The sequence below is a fragment of the Homo sapiens genome, chromosome 5 (assembly GCF_000001405.40).
Source record: "Homo sapiens chromosome 5, GRCh38.p14 Primary Assembly".
NCBI lineage: Eukaryota > Metazoa > Chordata > Mammalia > Primates > Hominidae > Homo > Homo sapiens.
Window position 1 is genome coordinate 101,811,727 of NC_000005.10, and position 24,338 is coordinate 101,836,064.

The 24,338-nt window shown below is 33.7% G+C and overlaps 1 long non-coding RNA gene and 1 pseudogene across 2 annotated transcripts in view; both read right to left on the reverse strand.

Annotated features, from left to right (window-relative positions):
* LOC105379102 (uncharacterized) overlaps positions 1 to 24,338 on the reverse strand; it is a 328,753-nt gene that overhangs the window by 286,144 nt on the left and 18,271 nt on the right. For both annotated transcript variants that reach the window (XR_007058891.1, XR_948628.3), the window contains exon 2: positions 3,931 to 4,013. This is a non-coding gene — a long non-coding RNA (uncharacterized LOC105379102). The remainder of the gene's footprint in view (positions 1 to 3,930; positions 4,014 to 24,338) is intronic.
* OR7H2P (olfactory receptor family 7 subfamily H member 2 pseudogene) lies at positions 4,157 to 5,054 on the reverse strand (annotated as a pseudogene).

Below are 24,338 nucleotides of genomic sequence, written 5' to 3' on the forward strand. Positions count from 1 at the left end.
TAAAGAAATAACTAAACAAACAAATGACAACTTGATGTAAAGTTTTTTTTTTTTAACAGAGAGAAGGATTTTGGGATTTTAAAAAACTACATTAGTACTCCATCTATTTGTGTCCCTAGTTTTTGTTGTTGTTTTTTCTTATAACACTAATATTTTCTACTAAGATTATGAGAGAGTACAAACAAGATATCACATCTCAAATTCTGTTGCTGTCAAGTTATCCCTACACAGGATTATATACCCTGATGCCAGTAAGAGCTAATGCTTACTCAACGCTTACTCTGTACCAATGACTTTTCCAAGCGCTTACCATATATTAGCATATTTACACTCAAACCCTCCTCATGATATAGCTTATCTTATATTCATCCTTATTTTCAAGAAATAGTTGAGAAGCAGACTGTCTGAGACGCCCAACTTCACATGCTGGTGGTATCTAGGTCCATTTCCAAGATGTCTGACTCCAGAATCCACAGCCTGAATACACACTATTGTGCTTAGTTTTGTTGATTCACTCGAATAGGCTATTCAGTTATGTAAAAAGACACTAACCTAGGTGTTGTTGGGAGAGTATTTTGTAGATGTGCTTAATATCTATAATCAGTTGACTTTAAGTTAAACAGATACCTCTGATAATGTGATGATCCTCATCCAATTGTTGAAATGACTTAAGGATGAAAACAGTATTCCAGGAGAAGAAATTCTGCCTCAAGATTGAAGAATCATCTCCTGTTTGAGTTTCCAGCATGCCAGCATGTACTAAAAATTTAGGACTTGCCTGTATTATAGATTTCAAACTTGCCAGCTCCCCGTCACATGAACCAATTCCTTAAGATAAATTTCTTAGTACAAACACATGTATTTTATTGGTTTTCTTTCTTTAGAGAACTCTGACTGATACACATACCATGCTATAAAATGCCAAGATATATAATGTTTCTCTTCATTAACAAAAATGTGCCCTTACTGGCATATGCCAGCTACTAAATGCTTAAAAAAAAAATCTGTCCTTGTCACAGAGTAGTTCGTTATCAAAGAAACCTGGTATGCTGAGGTAAACTAATGCCTAAGTTATGTTCCAAGAACAAATTCTAATGTAATAGTCTGATGTTCATCCCATGAGATAGAGAATAGCCTACATTTATTGATGGCTCTTTATGCTCTTCCCACTTGCTAAAATTCTACTTCTCTTTCAAGATCTGGCTTAGCCACATGTACTCCATTAAAGCCCTGCTGATTATCCAAGTAACATGGACTTTTCTCCCCCTTGAAATAACAGAGCATTTATTCTACACTTTTTATATTGTCCTCTAATTATTTATGACTGAGTATCTTTATTACACATCAGATTCTGAGTTCCTAAACCATGTCTCGCTAATATCCATAATGGATTTTAGCAGGTGATCCACTAAACAAGTTTTCAGGAAGTACCTGTTGGTTTGTCAATTTGACTTGTAGTAACCTGGAATAAGCCTGTTTTTTAGAAATGCACCCTTTATGAGAATATCTGATTTGCTGTCTCAAAGCAATAATGCTCTATTCAAATGACATTGAAAACTTAAAATAGAGTATGGCATATTTATAGAGACAGAAAAACGGATGATCTTAAGACCACACACTAAACAGTAGCCCAAGAATGTGTCAAAGTTTCATTAAGATTTTCGGCTGCATATATGTTTTACATGTTATGCGTTACGTAGAATTGATTTTTAATTGATAAGGATTTCTGGTAATCCTTACATTGCTCTTTTTACATAGCTAATCACCATAAACATTTATTACCTTAATGATATTTTACATGATCTAATCATATTAGACTAGTGACATTCATGATATGTTTCTTCAAAGCTATTCACAAATATAAACATTCACTTTGTATTCTATTTTATGCTTTTGTGTATAAATCCTATGTGATAGCTGGGAGCCATCATTGGTAGTTAAATTGATTTTCAGAGCCTTTCATATACAGAATAAAACTTAAATTTCCTTAAGGGAGTTTTCTACGTTCCAACAAGTAGTAGCTCATTGCAGTATACAAGGTAACTATCAACTGAGCAATTTAATACTTGTACAGATTTTCAGCATTTGAGTGTCAAGTTTATTCCTCAAAAACATCTTACTTTACTACCTCTCAGGACTCAGTGACAGTATATTATTGATGAAAAGATATATGTCTTTTGTTTGGAATTATAAAAATCCAATGCACTAACCTAAGCTGAGGTGGCAAAAAATGGAATCTTAGGCTTTAGAGCTAGATATTTTTTTAAAAAAATTTTATTTTCTATTGTTTTCTTTTTAAAAATTCTATCATTACTCTGTCATCAATGTTTTTTAGTTAGGAGATTTCACATAAAATTCTATATTTATAAGTTATTTAGTGATATCAAGATATTTGGCAATATGAATGTGTTCCTGCATGGCTAGCACTAAGTAAATTTTCTTTAAAGACAAACATTTTTCTTCCATTAATTCTAATCCTCATTTTATTCTATTACAACTGACTAAAGACAGTCATTGAAATGACCTGGCTGTGCTATAAGATTTTGAGGATAGTGACAAACTTTATCTATATTATTATTGTAGATTCAACTTTACCTTTAAGGCCTATCCTCTGATTCATGGCCCACCATATGTAAGAGTCTCATATAAATAAATTTTTTGTGTCCCAACTCCTTTACTATCATCGTAGGTGTCATTAGTCTATAAAAGATAAAACTACGACTGAAGTCTCCTAATGCTTCAGAAGATAAAGGACATTTGCATAATGATACATTTGGATACACTGCCAACACTAACAATTTTAAAATTCATAATTTAAAAAATATTCTTACTGAATTAGTTGCTTCTATTTTCTCATTCTTATCACTGACAACTTCAGTTAGGGAGGAGCTGATACAGAGGTTTCAGAGTAACATGGTTAGTCTGAAAGTGCTAAATAGGTTATTTAGCTCTTATTTTGCTTCAATTAATAGAAAGTCTTGTGTTTTCAATAACAAGGGAGCTTAAAATGAAGATGTAATTTCACCGATCATTAAGACATTGAAATGCAGAAATGGAAAAGTGACACTAGCCTAGTAGATAGCTCCAACATTTAGCATATCATGTTGGCTGACATGGTGTGACCGTGGCAAAGGAGGAATTGATTAATTCATGAACAAAACAGGCTAGAAGATAACCCATAGTGTTAATTGTACTTATAAATAAAAACCAAAGACTTGTTAGTCCCCATGATCATTGTACCCAGGCACTTCATGTCTGATAGAATAATGCATGACACCATAGGTAGTTCCGCATACCATCTACAGAGCAACACTTTCATCTCTTATTACCTTAAACAATGCAGAATTGGTTCTGTATGGCAGTCATATTTTTGAAAAATGAAATAGAAATACCCAGTATTTAAAAATTGGGGAGTAGGCCACATACATCAAACATTTTGTGTAAGAGGTTTTGGGTTATTTTATTTTTTTTCATCCTCTAATAAAATTTAAGAGTGTTAGCCTGCCATTTCCAATTTCATGCTTGCATGCTGATTTTTCTAACTACTTACCATTCTGTTTCAGACAAAGGAACAACAGGAGGACTAAAGTGTAGGAAATTTGTATTTTTCTAAGTAAAATTGATGCATCTCATTTATACACCACACACAACATATGAGCAAAACTTTTAAGAAGGTTTTTATTCTTCAAAAGAAGAAATGTACAGCTTCTGGAATCGAAGACTCAGCTTCATTATTCATGAACCAACAAATTTTATCTAAGTCATATAACCTGCCTGAGCTTCATTTGGCTTTTCTATAAAAAATAATAATAGAATAATAGAACACTTTACAGAATTATAGGAAACAAAAGTAGATATACAGATAAAGGCTACAAATGCCAATCTAAGTTATATATACTACAAATTACTATCATCTTAATGTTTTCTCACCTGAATCCTCCGGATTTCTCTCAGCACTCCATCCCAGGACACTAAGTGTTACCACTTGGAATTCATGTTGACTGTGGTTTTGTCTACAAGAAAAAAAAATCCAAATCAAGAGGTTCTTCTTTTTCAATTTACTCTCCATAACAGCAAAATAAAGCTATACCTCATTCAATCAAGGTTATCCTAGGAACTTATCAAATAAACATTTATAGCTAAGTTGTTTCTGGATTAGGAACTGATTTAACACAAGAAAAAATAACAATGATAACTGCGATAATGAAAATAAATAAAATGTCAGGGTTCTTGAAATGGACAGCAGCCTTTTACATGTAAATTTATCACATATAAAACCATGTACATGTAAACTGACTTTATTTACAAACATCATCTCATATATCTCATAGATACCACCTTTATTTTATTTTTTAAAATAATAGTTGTAATTTATTGAGATACTACTGTGCATAAAGATATTTTTAAATCTTACAAAGAGGTTAATAGTAATCATCATGTTTAAAAAATAAATAAAGCATTGAGAGTCAACTGTTACATAACCAGAAGCATAAGATGATAGAATAAAGGTTGTTTGAGTAGAAAATCCATGACTTATTAACAATTGTGTATCAATTAGTGTGAAGAAAGTATGGTGATTATCAAGAAAAGGACATAACTGTCTTCAATTATTTTGAAAGGCTCATACAAAAGAATAATTAGTTTACATCTTCAGATTCAAATAGGAGAATTAGAACCAGTGAGTATTCGAAGATTAAAACAACAGATTTCTGCTAAATTAGAAGAAATCTGATAAGACTACACATTTAGAATGGAATTGGACTACCACTTGGCTGAGTAAAGATGTCTTTGCTCTGTGCCCTGAGGTTTACCATCATCTTTTGGATCATGGTGAAGACAAAACAAATGGCAGCCATGGACAATTTGGAGAGTAAGAAGTACATAGGCTTGTGGAGGTGGGAGTCAGAACTGATGGCCAGGATAATGAGCAGGTTTCCAAGCACTGTGACCAGGTTCATGGACAGAAACAGCCCAAGAAGGGGCTGCAGTTCTGGATCTCCTGAGAGGCTCAAAATGAGGAATTCTGAAAATTCTGCAAGGTGTTCTGATTGCATGTAGCTGGCATGTCTGCTGGGGAAGGAGGCAAAAGCAACATTCAATGAATAGCCAACTGGCACTTCACCTCATCATCACTTTACAGTATCACCCTTAGATGGACATTTTTCATCCTCTTTGGAGTCCTCCTCAAAACTGTGATACCACCTTTATTATTTCATATCTATATAAACCCTGTATTATCACCTTTGTCTAAGTCATTCTACAACTAAGTGCTGGATCTGAGTTACCAGATAGTTTTTCATCACACAAAACTACCAAAAACAAGGAAATTCACACTCAGTGACTGTTAGCAGAAAACTTTTAAGAAGTTTTTCCTGACACAGTAGCGAAGTGCCTATCTGCTCACACTATACAGAGGGCTGGAATAACATTCAGGCGGGTCCAAGCATGGAATAGAGTGAGAATATGTGAAGCAAAAAACACCATCTTGTGCATTAAGGTAATTTACTCTAGCTGTCCTAATAGACAGGTAAAAAAAATTTCAGCGACTTAACTATAAAAGTATATTTGTCACTCTTTATAGTCTGATGAAGATCAGGTATCTTTTCTTAGTCTCAAGACCTAGTTAAATCAACTGTAAAACACGGTCCCATGGATACGTAGCAGGGAAAATGAGATATGAAAGAGACACACCAGCTACTACATGCTTGGATCTCAAAGTTACACATTCACTTCATTTAAAAAATAGCCACATGGGACTATCTTTTTGAAAGGTAGGCTGAAATTACAGGTAAGTCATTGCTGTCATTTAACAGTAAGGAGAGGGACCACCTAACCCCATATTTGATGTAGATATATAGACTGGTGATACCACACATGCACCAAGAGGGCATAAACAGATTTCTTACTCATATAAGAAGGTTTTGAGGAAAGAATATGGGAAAGGCTCTCACATAATTCCAAGTAAGTGCAGATAGAGCCAAAATATCAGAGAGGAGTGACTGGCTTGGGGTTTTATAGTGGTGAAGGGATAAAGCTGCGCTAAAGGGTGCCTCACAAGAGCCAGGTTTCAGCTTCCTACCGTCACCAAATAAGAGAGCATGCAGGCTTTCTTATCAGCATTCCCAGCTGTGGGAAAGAAAGGGGAAATGGGGATTGAAAGATATCAGAAGTCAATCATCAAAATTAGAGTAAAATGCTTTATTATAATTTACTTTTGATGTTTAAGTGATGATTGAAATTGCTTGCTTCATTTACTTGCATTTGAAACTGTTTAGATAAATCATTGGGATATTCTATGAGGCCTGTAGCCTCAGGTTGATAAAGAAGCCAGAAGTTCCATTGAACATCTTGTTCAAAAGCCCAGCATTATGTATTTTAAGTAATAAACTGAATGCTTTGACCATTCATTTTAATAATGCCTAAAGAGGAATTATGTAATTCGAATAACATTACTCAAAATAATAATGACCAATTCTGAAGGGGAAAGGAGCATGTTTGTGGGGACTTACATTGTAGCTTTAGTATGTGTAGAGACATGTGTGTCTTTGATTTGTAGTACACATGTTCAAAATCTGTGCAGTATGAGACTCCAGAATTCTTTGCCCTAAAGGAATACACTAGAATAAGAAATTGTGGTTTCCATTGGCTATATCAGACAGTCAAATAAATGGCCATTGCCCAAGAGTCTGTAAAAAGTGTTCTGACAGGGCTTATTATTTTCAAGAAAATTCATTGTTAAGATGACTACTCGAAGTTCAGGTAATTGTGCTAACCCTTGGGCCTCATCATTTATCAGGTATTTCAGTTAAGCGGTGAAAAACAGTAGCTCCCCAACAAGCTTCATGACATGTAATGGTGGCACTGTCATCCATAAACGTACAATTTCCCTTTGAAATTCACAGGAAATGTCCCAAGTAGTCAAGAGATCTAAGAGATGAGTGGCCTTCTCCAGCATCATGTCATTTGGCAATGGACTAAATATGATACACCAAACTGTCCAGTACTGGTTCTAGCTTATAGGTACAATTTTCTTTTCAACAACAAGGCTTTTGGCTGTGCCTAGCCATAGAATAAAGCTTCTATAAACCAAGGCATAATGGACATCTGGAAATGGAGGGTTACAGGCTAAGGGCCTGTGAGAGACTCTATTTCCAGGTGATCAAAATATGCGATCACCAATTGTCACTCTAATAGCATATAGTGTGAAGCTGAGGCAGGTAATTTCTTGCTTAGAACCAATGGACCATTTTTGGTCATCATGGGTAACCCAGAGACTACAGGAGGAATAACAGAATATTGCTAAGTTCTTTACAATAAAGGGGATTCTTGTGAATACTAAAAAGAGTGCCCATGATATTGCAATTTGGATTCCAAGGCCTTTTTAGTAAAAGTTTTATTCAAGGTAGTCCAAGTTGTAAGTAACACCATAAATGGGCTTAAGTAAAATTTAAATAAAGAATTAGTTGCAACTAGAACACAAAAAGGTGAAACAGATGCTGGGCTTATTTTAATATTGTGGTTTTTGAGAGGGTAAATAAATGTCTTGACAGTGTTAGGGATGGAGTGGTCCTCAGATAACCAAATAATTTTCAGGAATGAATGGAGGTGGTGCAGCCTTGTGGTATGTGTGGGGCTATGTCTATATCCTCTTTGCCAGCTCTTTTCCGACCATTTTCATATCCTGGATGAGTATGGAAAATAAATCTTGGAGGTGGAGGATATCATCAGGGTGATGTCACACCTGTGCTCCTAGCAAGAGTTAGATGCAATTAAAACATATTCATAAAATTGTATTATTTACAGTAATCTAAGTTATAATACCTGGCAACTGAAAAATACACAATTCATCAATTCATGGAACCCTTTAAATAACCAGTCACCTTTACCTTCAAATAAACTCTCCTGACTGCCCCACGTGACCCTCAAAGTTTTCTCTCCGTTCCTCAAAGTTATGACCTTCACCTCATCCACTTCCTTATCTATTCCACCTCATTCACTTTTCTTATCTACAGACTTTATAAAGAGCTTTCAAATATATTTCTTCATTCGATTATTACAACAGAACTAAAGGTAGTTATGTTCTACGTGCTAAAAGAAGAGAGAACTAAAGTTCTGGAAGGTAAATGGATTACTTAGGGACACTGCTACTAAATAGGAGAAAAACAGCACTAACGAAGTCTTCTAATTCTCTGGCCTATTTTCTTCTGTCTTTCTTATGTTTAAACCCAAAACCCACAGAGTTATGTCTGCACCTGGCTAATGTTAAGGACATGAGGATTTTCCTTATGCCTAGGTAGGTAGAAGAACGCTTTCATGGAAGCTATTAAAAGGTTCTAACCACCAATTTTTTTTCAGTACTTATTACTGTGACCTCACTCCACCATCTGTAATATGTGTATCTGGATTAAACCAAAGCTCATTCCAGCAATAATCTGCAAAATAAAATTGGAAAAGAAATTCTATTTAGGATAACTGATTGATTGATTGATTGATTTTTTCATTATGAATTAACTTGTTATATTGCTTAGTAAAAATGTATAAATATAGTTTATTGAACAAGTAACTTTGGTAGGTAAGAAATAACACACGACTGGATGCAGGATTTGGATTTCCTGCTTTTAATGGATATGCCAAATAAAGTTTCATAAAATGTTTTTTGGATAACACAGTTTAGGCTTCAGGAATTAAACTGAGTAAAGATATGAGAAAGCTGATAAAATGATCTCCACTGGTCTTAAAATTTTGCGTAGGTTGATTAACTTCACAGATAATACGATATTAACAGCATTTTAGAAAAAGTTTTTAGTCCATAGTAGAATTTCAAGCAAATGTTTTGAAATCCATAGGATCATAAATAATTATAATTTGAAAAAAAGTTAAAGAACTTGTTTACCTACAGTATTTTTTATATAAGGACAAGAGGACACTAGATAAAGCAAGTAACTTGTTAAAAGTAAGAGACGGGCTGGGCGCGGTGGCTCACGCCTGTAATCCCAGCACTTTGGGAGGCCGAGGCAGGCGGATCACAAGGTCAGGAGATTGAGACCATCCTGGTTAACACGGAGAAACCCCGTCTCTACTAAAAACACAAAAAATTAGCCGGGCGTCGTGGTGGGCGCCTGTAGTCCCAGCTATTAGGGAGGCTGAGGCAGGAGAATGGCGTGAACCCGGGAGGCGGAGCTTGCAGTGAGTGAGTTGAGATCGCGCCACTGCACTCCAGCCTGGGCAACAGAGCGAGACTCCGTCTCAAAAAAAAAAAAAAAAAAAAAAAAGTAAGAGACAGGGTTTGGACCAGAGTTGATTTTATGGCCATCTGTACTCTATAGTGTCACTACAATGAACTACTTGCAGTTCTCAAATTTGGATTATGTCTTTCGTTTTTTTCTTTTCTTTGCCTATACATTGTCATGGCCCTCTACTCTATTGGGTTCACATGGGCCCTACTTGCCCTATAAGGCTTACTTCAGGATATCTCTAATAACTTATTCTGGGTTAGGACATCAGTCTTAGTCCATTTTGTGCTGCTAGCACAGAATACAGTATAAATAACAGACTGGGTAATTTATAAAGAACAGAGATTGATTCCTCACAGTTCTGAAGGCTGGGAAGTCCAAGATCAAGGGTCTGGATCTGGGGAGGGCCTTCTTGCTGCATCAGGAGACAGTGGAAAGCATTAAGTGGTGAGGCAATACATTCAAGACAGCAAAAGAGGGCCCAGCTCACTCTATTTCTATTTTTATTTTTTTTAGAGATAGGCTGTTTCTAAGTTTTCAAGGCTGGCCTCAAACTCTTGAGAACAATAAACCCTCCTGCCTCAGCCTCTTGAGTAGCTGAGGCTACAGGCATATACCACTATACTTGGCTTCAATTCACTTTCATAAGGAACCCATTCCTACAATAACTACATTAATCAATTCATGAGAGCAGAGCCTCATGACCCTAATTATCTCAAAGTTTCCACTTACTAATATTGTTGCACTGGGGGTTAAGTTTGTAACACAAACTTTGGGGGACACATTCAAACCATAGCTGCCTTTCTCAGTGTGTCTTTTATGCCATATGAGATTAATATTATCTAGTACTTATTACATAGAATATACTTAAATGTTAACTTATCTACCCTTTAGACCTCACATATATCCTTATATTCTTAAATTCTATTCTTCTTTTTTAACTTTAATGGTAATTACTATCTCTAATTACTATCCCTAATCCCTCAATGGCTGACAAAAAGTAAATGCCAAATAAATGTTGAATGCAAAATGAATGGATAGATAATTAAAACTTTCATTTTATACAATACAAATTTTCTCTTGTTTCTATATTACTATAATGTAAAATCCCCTCTATGCAACAAGAAATTTAAAATGGACCTTTTTTTCTAGCAGACCATTATTTACAATATCATAATGGCTACTAGTAGTTATCTCTTCAAGTTTAATAATATCTCTGTTCATCATAGGTTAATGAATTTATTATATAACTTTAAATCACTGTTATTTCTCAAATTTATTATAGTTCTTCCATTTCAATTTCCCAGTAAGGTCTCCAATACAGAACAAATCTGTTGGGAAGGATGTATTATAATTTTCAACTGTCATCTTTCCATTCATTTATTCTACATAACCAACAGGCATTTACTTCTATATTTTGACAGTTTCAGTTTCACTGAAATATTCATAATGTTCTCAGCCCCAAGCAGTATTTTCTTTAGAACCTTCTGTAAATTCATATCACATCAGGAGGATAAGGCATTTTAGGTTATTTCAACTACTTTGCATTGAACACAAACACATTCATCAGATTAAAGGGACATTGTCAGAGGCACAATAGAGCATTGGGGATCTCCACGCAAAAAAAGTAGCTAATATTTCACATGTGGAGAAACGTTTTATGAAAGTTTTGTCATAATTACTTTCCAAGTAGGAAATAAAAGGTATATATTTCATCCAAGTATAAGACAACTGTGTTGATTTTTCTAACATGCTCAACTTATGTTTTAGAGAAAATTTCCTTTAGTTCCTCTAAATCTATTTTATTTAAGATGTTTAAATATATTCATCAAAAGTGGTATAAAAATTATACATTACATACTTCCTTAATCATGTATTCTATGAGACCATTATATAATTCAAATTAATGTCTTCATCATTTTTACAAAACATATTTAAGTATCCATTTACTGTTATTTTAGGAATGTAGTTTAAAGATGTCTACAATAGTAGAAAATTACGTGTTGTACTTAATTATAAATCTATAAAGTATAGGTTATATCAAGAACTACAAACACCTGAGATTTTATAATACCTGCAAACTAACAAGATAGCTTGTCACAATGTCATGAATACTAAAAGAATACAAAATATTTCTGGATCAGAGACAAAGGGGAGTAATTCCTCATAGAAATAGCAGTAATGGGAGTACCACCATTTTCCTACCCTTATTGCCTGAGCCTCAGTTCCCACAAGAAGATCTGATCATCCTGAAATCATCAGGTGAAGCCTGCACCTGCAATGAATTGTGTTACAGAAGAGAGAACTTAAGTTTAGAAAACTTGAGTCTTTTATATGGATCTGTAAGTGAACTTGCTCTTTTTCCTGAAGCTAGGCAAATTATTGTGACTGAAACACCAGGTGTTTGGGCTACATACTGCTGTTTGCTGCACAGAAAGTCAATCACTGAAAAAATGAGTATTGCCAAGTAAGAAGGCTTTAATTGGGTGCTGCAGCTAAAGAGATGAGAGATCAGTCTCAAATCCATCTTCCTGACCAATTAAAATGAGGAGTTTATATGCCAGGAAAGAAATGTAACCATGCGTAGGGAAACAGGAATTAGAGAAGGATAAGAGAGGGGTTGGTCAACAGAGAGCAGGTGGTCATTTAGGCTATCATGATGGGTGAGGGGTCTGACATCTCATTGTCCAAATGCAGTGAACTGGTGAGTTTCAGCTCCTTGCTATCTCTGAAGCCTGTTGGTTGGTTTCCTGAGAAAGGAACTCAGATAAAATGAATGTAACTAGAATTTCTAAAGTTTTAAGACTGGGAGGAACAATATCTATATTTATTCAAAGAAACTATAAACATCAGCTTGATGGGACAACTGGGTCAGATTCATTATCTTTGTTACACTGGAGTAATTATCTGCATTACACTAGAGAGTAAACAAATCTGCCCTCTGCCCTAAATGAATGTACTTTCTATATTTTTAATTATTTGTAATCCTTGAAAACAGAGCTCAGAATGAAAGCTGTCAGTGTCTCTGCTTGCAAGATGTGTAGAAATGTGACCCCCATGGATAACTGACCCATGATATGTGACTATCTCATTTAATTTTCACTTGAGATGAAGACATTTTATTCTCCAAAACCTTGTAACTGTGTATTACACACTTCTTTTAATATTTCTTGAGCTAAGTGGCAGCTGTGCACTGATTTGGAAAGAGTTGTTCAGTAAAATCTAGAATTAGAGAACATATAAATATTAGTTTGGAATAAAGTATTGTTTCTTTCTCTCTTTTTTTGCCACTCATCTCTATTTGATGAAAAAAAATCAGACTTGTTTATAACCATACAGAAAGATAAAGGTGTAACACTCCTGAAAAAAATTCTACCTCCCAGGATTGTTTCAAGGATTAAATGGTAAACCATTAAGATTATTTTATTTTATTTGTTTTTATTTTTATTTCTTAAAATTTAATTTTTTATTTCAATAGTTTTGGGGGGGGGACAGGTGGTGTTTGGTTACATGAATAACTTCTTTAGAGGTGAGTTCTGAAATTTTGGTGCACCCATCACCTGAGCAGTGCACACTGTACCCAATGTATAGTCTTTTATCCCTCACCCTGGCTCCCACACTTTACATTGAGTCCCCAGAGTCCATTGTATCATTTTTATGCTTTTGCATCCTCATAGCTTAGTTTCCACTTATGACTGATAACACACAATGTTAGGTTTTTCATTCCTGAGTTACTTCATTTAGAATAATGGTCTCCAATTCCATCCAGGTTGGTACAAATGCCATTATTTTGTTCCTTTTTATGGTTGAGTAGTATTCCATGGTATATAGATATGTGTATATATATACGTGTGTGTGTATATATACGTGTATGTATATGTGTATATATACTATATATACATCTATACATACTATATATATGTGTATATATACTATATATACATCTATACATACTATATATATGTGTGTATATATATATACCCATATACCACATATTTTCCTCTGTGTAGATACCCAGGAGTGGGATTGCTGGATCAAATGGTAGATGTGCTTTTAAGGAATTTTCACACTGTTTTCCATAGTGGTTGTACTAGTTTACATTCCCACCAACGGTGTATAAGTGTTCCATTTTCACCACATCCAAGCCAACAACTATTATTTTTTGATTTTTTTATTATGATCATTCTTGCAGGAGTGAAGTCATATTGAATTGTGGTTATTTGAATTTCCCAGAATAATTAGTGATGTTGGGCATTTTTTCATCTGTTTGTTGTCCATTTGTATATCTTCTTTTGAGAATTGTCTATTCCTGTCTTTTGCCCACTTTTTGATGGGATTGTTTGTTTTGTTGTTGCTGATTTGTTTGACTTCCTTGGAGATTCTGGATATTAGTACTTTGTTGTAAAACTATAAAAAACTGCTGAAAAAAATCATAGATGACACAAACAAATGGAAACACATCCCATGGTCATGAATGGGTAGAATCAATATTGTGAGAATGACCATACTGCCAAGAGCAATCTATAAATTCAATGCAATTCCTATCAAAATACCACCATCATTCTTCACAGAATTAGAAAAAAAATGCTGTAATTCATATGGAATGAAAAAAGATCCTGCATGGCCAAAGGAAGACTAAGCAAAAAGAACAAACCTGGAAGTATTATATTACTTGACTTCAAACTATACCATAAGGCCATAATCAACAAAACAGCATGGTGCTGATATAAAAATAGGCATATAGACCAATGGAACAGAACCCAGAAATAAATCCAAATACTTAGAGTCAACTGGTCTTTGACAAAGCAAACAAAACTATAACGTGGAGAAAGAACACCCTATTCAACAAACAGTGCTGGGATAATTGGCAAGCCACATGTAGAAGAATAAAACTGGATCCTCATTTATCTTTTTATACAAAAATCAACTCAAGATGGATCAAGGACTCCAATCTAAAACCTGAAATCATTAAAATTCTAGACAATAAATCAGAAAAACACTTCTAGATGTTAGCTTAGGCAAAGACTTCATAACCAAGAACCCAAAAGCAATTGCAACAAAAACAGAGATAAATAGATGGGACTTAATTAAACTAAAAAAGTTTCTGCACAGCAAAAGAAATAATCAGCAGACTAATCAGACAACCCACAGAGTGGGAGAAAATCTTTGCAATCAATCTAAACTATGGTTTCTTGATCTATATAGTCTTGATCCATTTGCATAAGAACTTCTTAGGGAGCTTCATAAAATGCTGCCTTTTGAGGCTCAGCCCCAGATTCACTGGATCAGTGTCTCTAGTGTTGTGATCTGGAAAGTAGACATTTTTTAACAAGCCCTATAGGTAATTTTGTGTGCACTTACATTTTAGAACAGCAGGTAAAAGATAAATAGATAGATATTTAAGGTGATTTCAGAGTAAATTTAAAGCCACTAGATAAGAAAAATATTTTAAATAAAGAAGAAAGTCAGCAAAATCTGGGAAATACAATCTAGGAATATTTGAAAGTTTTGGCTCATTTAATGACTACTTATACACCTCCTTCTGGAATGTGAACCATCCTCAAAGGAGTGCAGAAATTGCAGCAGTCCTTACCCCAGCACATGAAATTTTGCAAGTCACATCTTAAGCCATTGTAGGGTAATTGCCAAAGCAAAGAAGGTATAATTTGATAACAAAAGAAATTGAAATGCTTCTATCCACTACTGTTAGTTAGTTTTCCAAACCTTGCTAATGTACCTCTCCCAAAACCTTGCTAATGCCTGGCATAATATCAAATAAGTATTTGCTAAACAAATGTATCTGTATTTTTATTTATAACTAAGTCTATCTATATCTACATAGGGTAGTGGAAAGCAAACAATTGAATGTAAAAAGTGAGAATGAGTAAAAACAGTATTTTTATATATTTTTTTGGAATTAATATTTATGGAATGTGTCTCCGTATCATTGTTTCAGTCAAATGTGGAAGTCAGTGTGGCGATTCCTCAGGGATCTAGAACTAGAAATACCATTTGACCTAGCCATCCCATTACTGGGTATATAACCAAAGGACTATAAATCATGCTGCTATAAAGACACATGCACACATATGTTTATTGCAGCATTATTCACAATAGCAAAGACTTGGAACCAACCCAAATGTCCAACAATGATAGACTGGATTAAGAAAATGTGGCACATATACACCATGGAATACTATGCAGCCATAAAAAATGATGAGTTCATGTCCTTTGTAGGGACATGGACGAAATTGGAAATCATCATTCTCCGTAAACTATCACAAGAACAAAAAACCAAACACCGCATATTCTCACTCATAGGTGGGAATTGAACAATGAGATCACATGGACACAGGAAGGGGAACATCACACTCTGGGGACTGTTGTGGGGTGGGGGGAGGGGGGAGGGATAGCATTGGGAGATATACCTAATGCTAGATGACGAGTTAGTGGGTGCAGCGCACCAGCATGGCACATGTATACATATGTAACTAACCTGCACAATGTGCACATGCACCCTAAAACTTAAAGTATAATAATAAAAGAAAAAAAAGGGAGTTTCTAATTAAAACCCAACTTGTGAAAATTGGTTCTATTTAATGGCCTTTAAATAGAAAAATATGGAAGCTCTTCTATTACACTATAGCACACTACAAGGTCTGTTGATGGCCAAGTTATGTTTACTAGTTCTTTTCAATAATTGAATTTTCTAATCATTTAGCAATAGAAAAAGTTGCAAAAATAACAACTACAGAATTTTCTAGGGCTGATTATCTTAACTCCATTCGGCCTTATGAAACAGCATTAAAGATGTCCTTCCTTTAGCATTTCTGCAAAGTACATTTTGTTCTCCCTTCTCTTCCTTTCAGAGCTGGAATGTGCTTCTCAAATAATCCAAAGTAGCTAAATAATTTACATTATATATAATGTAAATTCTATATGTAATATATATTTAATATATCATATATTTACTTTGTAAATATATAATAATAAAGACAAGATACTACTTTGCCATGGTTTGGGATAAAGGAACAACACTTATTTTAGTCAATGTATTTTTACTCATTGACTAGGCTTCTGATTTTATGCAAGTTTCTACAAACTACAACCCACAGGCTAAATTTTACCTACCACCTATTTTTATAAATAAAATTCTAATCAAATCATAAACCTTGCCAACGATCAAAGAAGGCTAGAAGTCTCAGAAGAAAACAAACAATACTACTGGAAAAGGTAGAGTAAGAATATGTCCTAAAAAGTTAAAAACTACTAACATTGTCCTAAACTATGAAAGTGCTGTGGCATTATTAATTTTCTTGAAAGAAATTTAAATCATTTTATGTTATTTGATAAACATCTAACTGAACTATTACAATCATATACCTATATGCATTTCCCTTTTATTTAATACATGTTCAAACATTTTTGTAACAGTGAATTGAGAAAGGAGAATGAAGAATTATTTAATTCTAACAATTACATTTCTCTATATTTTTATCCATCACATATCTTACATTTTTTTCTCATTATGATTCAATAAGAGAGAACAGGGTAATGTAGTAGACTACAGGCAGTAATATAAATGGTCAGAATTACCCGAATTCATTGGCATTTCACATGGAAAGCTTTTATCTCTTTAATTATTGAAAATCATTCAAACAAAAATTCCTCTATTAAAGATCACTTATCTTTGGATAAGATACTTGAAATTATAGAATGGTCAAACTGATATTTTCTATGTCAATAAAATTTTAAAATAAATCATACTAGATTCTAATAGATATAAATTTTAAGATTCAAATTTTGACTGTTCTATGCTTAAAATGAGAAAATCCTTTTTTAGATATAAAGGTAACTAAGAGATTGGGAATGTAAGTCTCCTATTAAGTTAATGGCTTTACCTAATTCTTCTGTCTGATAAAAGGCAGTTCATTGTATTTAATCATCTTTTAAAACTTTTTTTTCTTTTTTTATTATACTTTAAGTTCTGGGGTAGATGTGCAGAAGATGCAGTTTTGTTACTTAGGTATACACATGCCATAGTGGTTTGCTGCACTCATCAACTCGTCACCTACATTAGGTATTTATCCTAATGCTATCCCTCCCCTAGACACCCTGAAGTATAATGTACATACTTTATATTTCACCCATTACAAGTACACAATTCAATGATTTTTTGTGAACTTTTGGAGTCATGTAACCATTTCCACAATTCAGTTTTAGAACATTTTATGACACAAAATGAAAGCTTGTACCTATTTACAGTCACTCCCTTATCTCACTACCAGGCCCAAAGGGCCAATGTTATGCTTTTTGTCTCTATAAATAGACTTCTTCTGGATATTACATATAAGTTGAACCATACAATGGGTCATCTTTTGCATCTTTCTTCTTCCACTCAGCATTTCTGGAGGTTAATCTATGTTGCAGCACATATTATTAGTAGTATGTAATAGGTATTAGAATTTTATTCCTTTTTATTGCGAAACAGTTGATGGTCATCTGGATTGTTTTTGTTTTTCGGTTGTTATGCATAATGTTACTGAAAACATTCTCACATATATCTTCACGTGGATTTTTAAAATTTTTCTTGGAGAATATGTAGGAGTTGAATTTGTGGGTCCTACGGTCAGTTTATGTTTAATTTTTAAGAAACTGTTAAATCATTTCCAAAATAGCTTTACTATTTTATATTCTCACAAGCAATATTGAGGGATATAGTTTTCTATATTCTAGCAAATACGGCATTTTCTGCTAGTTATTCCAGTGTTCGTTTAATTGCTTCTCCCTGATGTCTAATTAAGTTTAGCATCATTTTATATGCTTGTTAGTAATTCATATTTCATTAGTGAAATATCTATTCAAATCTTGTACTCAAATTTTAATTGGGTTGTTTGCCTTATTATTGAGTTTTAACTGGATAAAAACTTGAAATATTCTAAATAAAAGTTTTTGATCAGATATATGATTCACAAGCATTTGTTCCTATCTGCAACTGCTTTATTTTCTTAAATTTGTTTTGTTAAAGTGCAAAAGTTTTCAATTTTTATTACACCTTATCAATGAATTGGGCTTTTAATGTTGTATTTATCTCATTTTCCAATCCTACATCATAATGCTTTATTGTTATGTTGCAATCTAGAAGATTTATAGTGTTAACTATTAAATTGAGGTCTATGATTCATTTTTGGTTAATTTTCAGTATGGATCTCAGATTTTTTAATGTGACTGTTCAATTTATTTGCTGAAAAAAAGTGTCATTTTGTCCTTAAATTGTTTTGGCACCAATGTTAAAATGTTATATTGATCTATAAGCCTGTTTTAGTGCTAAAAACACTCTCTTTGATTGATTACTATAGCTTTATTGTAAGTTTTGAAATTGGATTAAGTCCTTCAATTTCATTCCCTTTTATCAAAATTGTTTTGGCTATTCTAAATCATTTAAATTTCTGTATTCATTTTATGTTAGGTTATCAATTTCTGCAAAATAAAAACACTGCTAGTTATTTAAAAGGAATTGTGTGACTCTATTGATCAATTTGGGAATGAGAAAAATCTTGACAATATTGAGTCTTCTAATTCAAGTATATGCATTGTCTCCTATTTTATGTAAATCTTCATTTATTTATTTATTCATTCTTTGCTCAACAATAAATTACAGTTTTCAGCATAGAAGTCTTTCATTTCTCTTGTTAAATAATTTCTAAGTATGCTATTTTGATGCTATTTTAAACAAAAATAATTTCTTTTTGGTATTTTATTTTAAATTGACAGATAAGATTATATGTGATGTTCTGAAGTATATATGTTGTAAAATGATTAAATCCAGCTAATTAACATATGCATTACCTCACATAATTTTCATCTTTGTGGTGAAAACACTTTAGATCCATCCTGTTAGCATTTTTCAAGAATGCAATATATTAACTATAGTCACTATTTAGTACAATAGATATAGTTATTCCTTCTATCTAACTACAGTTTTGTATTCTTTAACAAACATCTGCTCAACCACCACCCCAACAACCCCAGCTCCTAGTAACCACCATTGTATGATCTACTTCTAAGAAATCAAACATTTTCGATTCCATATATGTGAGATTATGAGGGATTTGTCTTTCTGTGCCTGCCTATGTCACTTAACATTATGTCCTGCAGGTTCATTCATGCTGTCACAAATAACAGGGTTTGATTCTTTTTTATGACTGAATAGTATTTCATTTTGTATGAATACTACATTATTCTTATCCACTCACCTGTGGGTGGACAATTAGGTTTATTCCATATCTTAGCTATTGTGAATAATTCTATAATAAACATGAAAGTGTGTTTTTGGCATTTTAGCCAAAGATCAGTTGACTGTACATGTTTGGGTTCATTTCTGAGCTCTACTCTGTTCCATTGGTGTATATGTCTGTTTTTAATGACAGTACCATGCTGTTTTGGTTACTGTAACTTTGTAGTATGTTTCAAAGTCAGGTAATGTGATGCCTCCAGTTTTGTCCTTTTTGCTCAATATTGCTTTGGCTTTAGGATCTTTTGTGATTCTATGCGAATTTTAGGATTTTTTTTTTCTATTTCTGTGAAGAATGTTATTGTTATTTGGATAGGGATTGTGTTAAAGCTATAGGTCACATTGGCTAATATGAACATTGTTACAATATTAATTCTTCTAATCCATTAGCATAAATTTCTTAAAATTTATTTGTGTCTCCTTTTTTTTTTAGTTTGCTTTTTTTTTTTTAATTTTACTTTGAGTTCTGGGATACATGTGCAGAACATGAAGCTTTGTTACACAGGTATACATGTGCCATGGTGGTTTGCTGCACCTACCAACTGGTCATCTAGGTTTTAAGCCCTGTATGCATTAGGTATTTGTTCTAATGCTCTCCCTCCCCTTGCCTCCCACCCACTAAAAGGCCCCGGTGTGTGATTTTCCCCTCCCTGTGTCCATGTTTTCTCATTGTTTAACTCTCACTTATGAGTGAGAAAATGTGGTGTTTGGTTTTCTGCTCCTGTGTTAGTTTGCTGAACATGATGGCTTCCGGCTTCTTCCATGTCCCTACAAAGGACGTGAATTTATCCTTTTTATGGCTGCATAGTAGTCCATGGTGTATATGTGCCACATTTTCTTTATCCAGTCTATTATTGATGGGCATTCGAGTTGGTTCCAAGTCTCTGCTATTGTAAATAGTGCTGCAATAAACGTACATGTGCATGTGTCTTTATAGTAGAATGAATTATAATCCTTTGCGTATATACTCAGTAATGGGATTGTTGGGTTAAATCGTTATTTCTGGTTGTAGATCCTTGAGGAATCACCACACTGTCTTCCACAATGGTTGAACTAATTTACACTCCCACCAACAGTGTAAAAGTGTTCCTATTTCTCCACATCCTTGCCAGCATCTGTTGTTTCCTGACTTTAATTATCATCATTCTAACTGGTGTGAGATGGTATCTCACTGTGGTTTTGATTTGCATTTCTCTAATGACTAGTAATTTCTTTCATCAATGTTCCCTACTTTTAGTGTAGATATCTTTTACCTCTTAAGTTAAATTTATTCCTATTTTATTTTTGTAGCTATTATAAATAAAATTATTTTTTAATTTTTTTAGGTTGCTTGATTTTAGTGTATAGAAAAACAATTTTTTCATGTTTATTTTGTATTTTTCAAATTTACTGAATTCATTAATTATTTTTAACAGTTTTTTGGTGGATCCTTTAGAGTTTTCTGTGTATAAGATCATCTTGTCTGCAAAGAGGAACAATTTAGCTTCTTTCTTTTCAATTTGGATGCTTTTTTATTTCTTTCTCTTGCCTAATTGCTCTGGTTAGGACTTCCAGTACCATGTTGTGTCCTTTTCTGAATCTTAGAAAAAAGCTTTCACCTTTTCACAGTTGACTAAGGTGTTAGTTGTGGGCTTGTCATATATAGCATGTATTGTGTTAAGATACATTCCACGCCTAATTATTAAGAGGTTTTTATTATAAAATGATTTTAAATTGTGTTGAACAATTTTCTGCACTTATTGAAGTGATCATGTGGTTTTGTTCTTCATTCTGGTAATGTGATATATTATATTTATTGATTTACATTTGTTGATCCATTCTTGCATTCTTGGAATGAAACCAATTTGATCATGGAGAATGATCATTTAAATGTGCTTTTGGATTTAGTTTGCTAGTATTTTGTTGAGAATTTTTGCACCAATGTTCATTTATCAGGCATATTGTCCTGTATTTTTTTTTCTGTATGTCTTTATCTGGCTTTGATATTGGCAAATTTGGTATTGGGATGATGCTGGCTTTGTAAAACGAGGTTGAAAGAGTTCCCTCCTCTTCCACATTTTGGAAGAATCTGAGAATTGGCCCTCATTATTTAAATATTTGATAGAGTTCGGCAGGGAAGCCATCAGATCCTGGGCTTTTCTTTGGTGGGAGACTTTTTATTATTCACTCAATTTTCCTATTATTGGTGTTAAGGTTTTCTATTTCTTCATAATTGAGTCTTGGTAGAGTGCGTGCATCTAGGAAAAAGAAATTTTCCTGTTACTTCTAGTTTGTCCAATTTGTTGGTGTAATTTTTTTCATAACAGTCTCATGACCCTTTGTATTTCTGTTGCTTTAGTTGTAAGTCTCCTTTTTTCTTTTTTATTTTGAGTCTTATTTTTCTGTTCTTAGTCCAAGTACAGGTTTCTCAATTTTTTTTCACAAAGTCAACTCTCTGTTTTTTAATTTTTTCTCTTGTTTTTCTAGTCTCTATTTTATTTATTTCTGCTCTGATCTTTATTAATTTATTACCTCTGCTAACTTTGGGTTTAGTTTGTTCTTGTTCTTCCAGTTCCTTGAGGTGCAACCTTAGGGGAAGGTACTGTGAACACTGTTAAAATGACAACAAGTTACATAAACTTAGGTGATAAAGCAGTGTCAGGTTTGAGAGGGTTTACTCCAATTTTGAAAGAAGTTTTACTGTGAGTAAAATGGTATGAAATAGTATTGCACGATACAGAGACATTGTACATGAAAATAAAAGTGAATTCATCCAGCACACTTCATTGCTGTCTTATTTTTTTAAATTGCCACAGCCATCTCAGTCTTCAGTAACCACTGTCCTAATCAGTCAGCAACCATCGACATCAAGACAAGACCCTCTACAAACAAAAAGATTATGACTGACTGAAGGCTGGGATAATTGTTAGCATTTTTAAGCTATATTTTAAATTAAAAGACATACGCTTTTAATGTAATGCTACTGCACAATTAATAGACTATATTAAAGTGTAAACACAGCTTTCTTTTTCCTCCCAACTTTTATTTTATGTGTGGGGGTACATGTGCAGGTTTGTTATATGCTTAAATTGCATGCTGTGGTGGTCTGGTGTACAGATTATTTAATCACCCAGAAAATAAGCACAGATTCCAAACAATCCTCACTGTCATCCCATCCCCCAACCGCAAGTAGACCCTGGTGTCTATTGTTCCCTTATTTGTGTCCATATGTACACAATGTTGAGCTCCCAATTATAAGTGAGCATACGGTATTTGGTTTTCTGTTTCTGTATTAATTTGCTTAAAATATTGGCCTCCAGCTTCATCTATATAGCTGCAAATAACATGATCTCATTTTTTTCTTATGGCTAAATAGTATTCCATGTTGTATATGTACCACATTTTCATTATCCAGTCACTGTTGATGGTCATTTGGGTTGATTCAATGTCTTTGTTTCTTGTGAATAGTGCTGCAATAAATATACAAGTGTTTGTATCTTTTTGGTAGAATGCTTTGTTTTCTTTGGTATATATACCCAGTAATGGGATTGTTGGGTTAAATGGTAATTCTACTTTTAATTCTTTGAGAAATCTTTGAATTGCTTTCCAAAGTGACTGAACTGATTTGCATTACGAACAGCAGTGTATAAGCATTCTCTTTGCCTCACAACCTTGCCAACATCTGTTATTTTTTGATTTTTTAGTAATAGCCACTCTGAGCATTGTGAGATTGTATCTCATTGTGGTTTTTATTTCATTCCGCTAATGGTCAATTATGTGGAACATTTTTGATATGCTCTTGGCCATTTGTATGTCTTTTTTTTTTCAAGAAGTATCTGATCGTCTGGGTGTGGTTACTCATGCCTGTAATCCCAGCACTTTGGGAGGCCAAGGTGGGTGGATCACCTGAGGTCAGGAGTTCAAGACCAGCCTAGTCAATGTGGTGAAATCCCATCTCAACTAAAAATACAAAAAAGTTAGCTGGGCATGATGGCAGGCGCCTGTAATTCCAGATACTTTGGGAGGCTGAGGCAGGAGAATCGCTTGAACCCAGGAGGTGGAGGTTGCAGTGAGCCAAGATCAGGCCATTCCAGTCCAGCCTGGGTGACAAGAGTGAAACTCTGTCAAAAAAAAAAAAAAAAAGTTTTTGATCATTTCCTTTGAACACTCTTTAACGGGGTTATTTATTTTTATTTTTGGATCTGTTTTTCTTTATAGATTCCAGATATTAGATCTCTGTCAGATGGGTAGTTTGCAAATATTTTCTCCCATTCTCTGGGTTGTCTGCTTACCTTGTTGATAGTTTACTTTGGTATGCAGAAGCTCTTTAGTTTAATTAGGTCCAGTTGTCAATTTTTTGTGTTGCATTTACTTTTGAGAATTTAGTCATAAATTTTCTTCCTAAGCCAATGTCAGAAAAGTATTTTCTAGATTTTCCACTAGAATTTTTATAGTTTTAGATATTGTATTTAAGTCTTAAATCCATCTTGAATTAATTTTTATATATGGTGAAATGTACGGGGTCCAGTTTCATTCTTATTAATAAGATTAGCCAGTTTTCTGAGTACCATTTATTGAATAGGGTATCTTTCCACATTTCTTATTTTTGTCCACTATGTCAAATATCAAGTGACTGCAGGTGTGTGGCTTTATTTCAGGGGTCTCTATTTTGATCCATTGGTATACGTGTCTATTTTTGTACCATGCTGCTTTGGTTGCTGTACTCTTACAGTATAGTTTGAAGTTGGATAATGTGATACCTCCAGATTTATTATTTTAGCTTAGGATTGCATTGGCTATTTGAGTTCCTTTATCTTCCCACATAAATTTTA